Here is a 3,068-nt window from a genome sequence, read left to right on the forward strand (position 1 = left end):
CTGGGATTACGGGCGTGAGCCACTGTGCCCAGCTGATGTTGAGCATCTTTTTATGTACTCGTTAGCCATTTGTGTATCTTCTTTGGTGAGCTGTCTACTCAAATCATTTGTTCATTTTAAAATGGGGTTGTTTTCTTATTATTGGATTGTAAAGTTCTTTCTATGGTCTTTTTACAAGTCCCTTATCATATAAATGACTTGCAATTATTTTATCCCATTCTTTTTAGCTTTTCAAATAGTGTCTTTTGAAGTGTGTACGTTTTTAAGTTTTATGAAGTCTAATTTTTCTATTATGGTATTATATCATGCTTTTGGTATCATATCCAAGAAATCTTTGCCTGATCCAAGGTCTCAAATTTTTTATATGTTTTATTCTAAAATCTGTATAATTTTAACTCTTACATTTATGTCTGTCATCCACTTTGAGTTAATTTTTCCATATGGTGTGGGATGGGTGTAAGTTCATCTTTTTACTTTGGATATTCAATTATCTCAATGCCATTTGTTGCAAAGATTATCATTTCCCCCATTGAATTGCCTTGGCACCTCCGTCAATATCAATTGACTATAAATAAGAGTTTATTTTTGGACTCTCAATTCTGTTCCATTGATTTGTACGTCTATCTTTATGCCAGTAATACGCTGCTTTAATACATAAGTTTTGAAAGGTGATGGAAACTGTTAAACTAAGAGATTGCTTGGGAATGACAGAATCTACCCCACATTTTAAAAAGTCATCCCATCAATATCTATTGCAAAGTACAATATAAGTGGATGATAAAAATATAAGAAAAATGAAAGTAGAAAAAATAAAGCAAGCCAGATGATATGGTTTGGCTCTGTGTCCCCACCCAAATCTCATCTCAAATTGTAATCTCTATGTGTTGAGGGAGGGAGATGATTGGGTGCAGGGAGTGGTTTTCTCCATGCTGTTTTCATGATAGCAAGAGAGTTCTTATGCAATCTGTTGTTTTTATAAGGGTTCTTCCTCCTCCGTTCATCTGTCTCTCTCCTGCTGCCTTGTAAAGAAGGTGCCCTTCTACTATGACTGTAAGTTTCCTGAGGCCTCCCTGGCCATTTGGAACTGTGAGTCAATTAAACCTCTGTATTGGTCTGTTCTCATGCTGCTAATAAGAACATACTCAAGGCTGGGTAATTTATAATGGAAAGAGGCTTAATGGCCTCACAGTTCCACATGGCTGGGGAGGGCTCACAATCATGGTGAAAGGTGAAGGAAGAGCAACAGCATGCCTTACATAGAGGCAGGCAAGAGAGTGTGTGCAGGGGAAGTCCCCTTTATAAAACCATCAGATCTCATGAAACTTATACACTATCACAAGAACAGCATGGGAAAGACCCATCCCCATGATTCAGTTACCTCCCAACAGGTCCCTCCCATGACACGTGGGAATTCTGGGAGCTACAAATCAAGATGAGATTTGGGTGGGGACACAGTCAAACCCTATCAACCCCTATCCTTTATAAATTACCTAGTCTCAGATATTTCTTTATAGGAGTGTGAAAATGGACTAATACATCAGATTGTTACACAAAATCTATATCACATGTCTTCAACATTGCTAGTTGTGATTACTATTGTGACTCTAAGCTTGCCAACAATCAGGAAGGAAATGAGAACAAATGCATAAAAATGTTTAGTAAAATTATACAATTCAACTTTTTAGTAAAAGCATAATTATTCTTGGTTTTTGGACTAGAGGGGATTTTACCCTTTGTGTGTTCATAAAAAGGAAATTGTATAATGTAATAAACAGCATCCTCACCAGAATCCTTGCTTTGAGTAAAACCAGACATTTCTGATTTTTTCTTACCGTGTTGTGCAAAGTAAATCAACTGCAATTAGTAAATTCAGGTCTTTGTAGAGGTCAAAAGGATTTGCTCCTGATTTGGTTAATCCTGGGACAGATATTTTATTATTTAAATTATTCCTCCACAAATATTGTTTTTTTCAACCAAACCTTTTGATGTATAAGGTAGCAAAGAATTCAGGTATTTACTTCTGGGAAGAATTGAAAATGCAGTGACAGTGTGTTGTACCTTAAGATCAAACCTTCATATTTTAATAATAAACTTGAACAAGGAATTGGATTGACATATTTTTATGAAAGGGGGGAAACTTATGAGGATGTTTAACTCATTGAGATAGTTAACTATCCCTTCCCCTGCAGAATGGGGTGAGACAAAACCTGTTCTTCAAGGCAGGACCAAATTAGCCTGAAGAATAAATTTCCTGGACTTTGCACATATAAAGGTTGCAGACCTAGCCATACCGCTCTCTTTCCCCCTAAAATAAAGAGGGATAATATGGGTAATTATTATTAATATTTATCCATATTGTTTAGATATAGATTATGAGATAATATTTAGGTAAATATCCTAAAATCTAGGTCTCTTTTGGTTAACTAATAGTAGAATTCTATCAGAAAACACAAACATATCAGGGATCTTAACTATACAGCATCATTTTGCAACATTCTCAAAGAGGACGATTAGTTGCTGAGAGGTATAAATCTCCCAGGTATAAAGAAGGTATAACCTTATTGTGCTTAACAGCAGATGAAGTCACTATTCCTACTGATGCTGCTTACTTTGTGTCTGGAAAACCAAAGTCAGTAGGAGAAAAATAGTTCTAGAATTGGGAAGACTTTTTCTTGATTGACTGTTGAGTGGGCAAATGTGGAGTATCATCAAGCACTGTGTCTAGGGAGGGTGTTGTCAAACCATGGATTAGGTTAGCTCAAGAGCCACTCCACTTGTCAAGAAAAAGCTAGGAAAGCAATCTTTCTTGAATGTGTGTAGAACTTACTATCCCCATGTTGTGTAAAACTGAACCTTGATCAGGTTATGCAAGAGAACCTGAGAAAAGTGCACAAAAACATAGTTATAATTATGGCCTAGGCTTTGATGATTAATTAAATCACTCTTGTGAAATAATTATCTTCCAACATTTGAGAAGCTGTGTTCAGTCACTTCAAAGTGTATTAAGAACGGTCCTGGGGCACTTAAGCCGAAAGTTACCTTGCTGTGTCTCCTCTTCACTTTTGTTT

The sequence above is a fragment of the Homo sapiens genome, chromosome 13 (genome assembly GCF_000001405.40).
Source record: "Homo sapiens chromosome 13, GRCh38.p14 Primary Assembly".
Classification (NCBI taxonomy): Eukaryota; Metazoa; Chordata; class Mammalia; order Primates; family Hominidae; genus Homo; species Homo sapiens.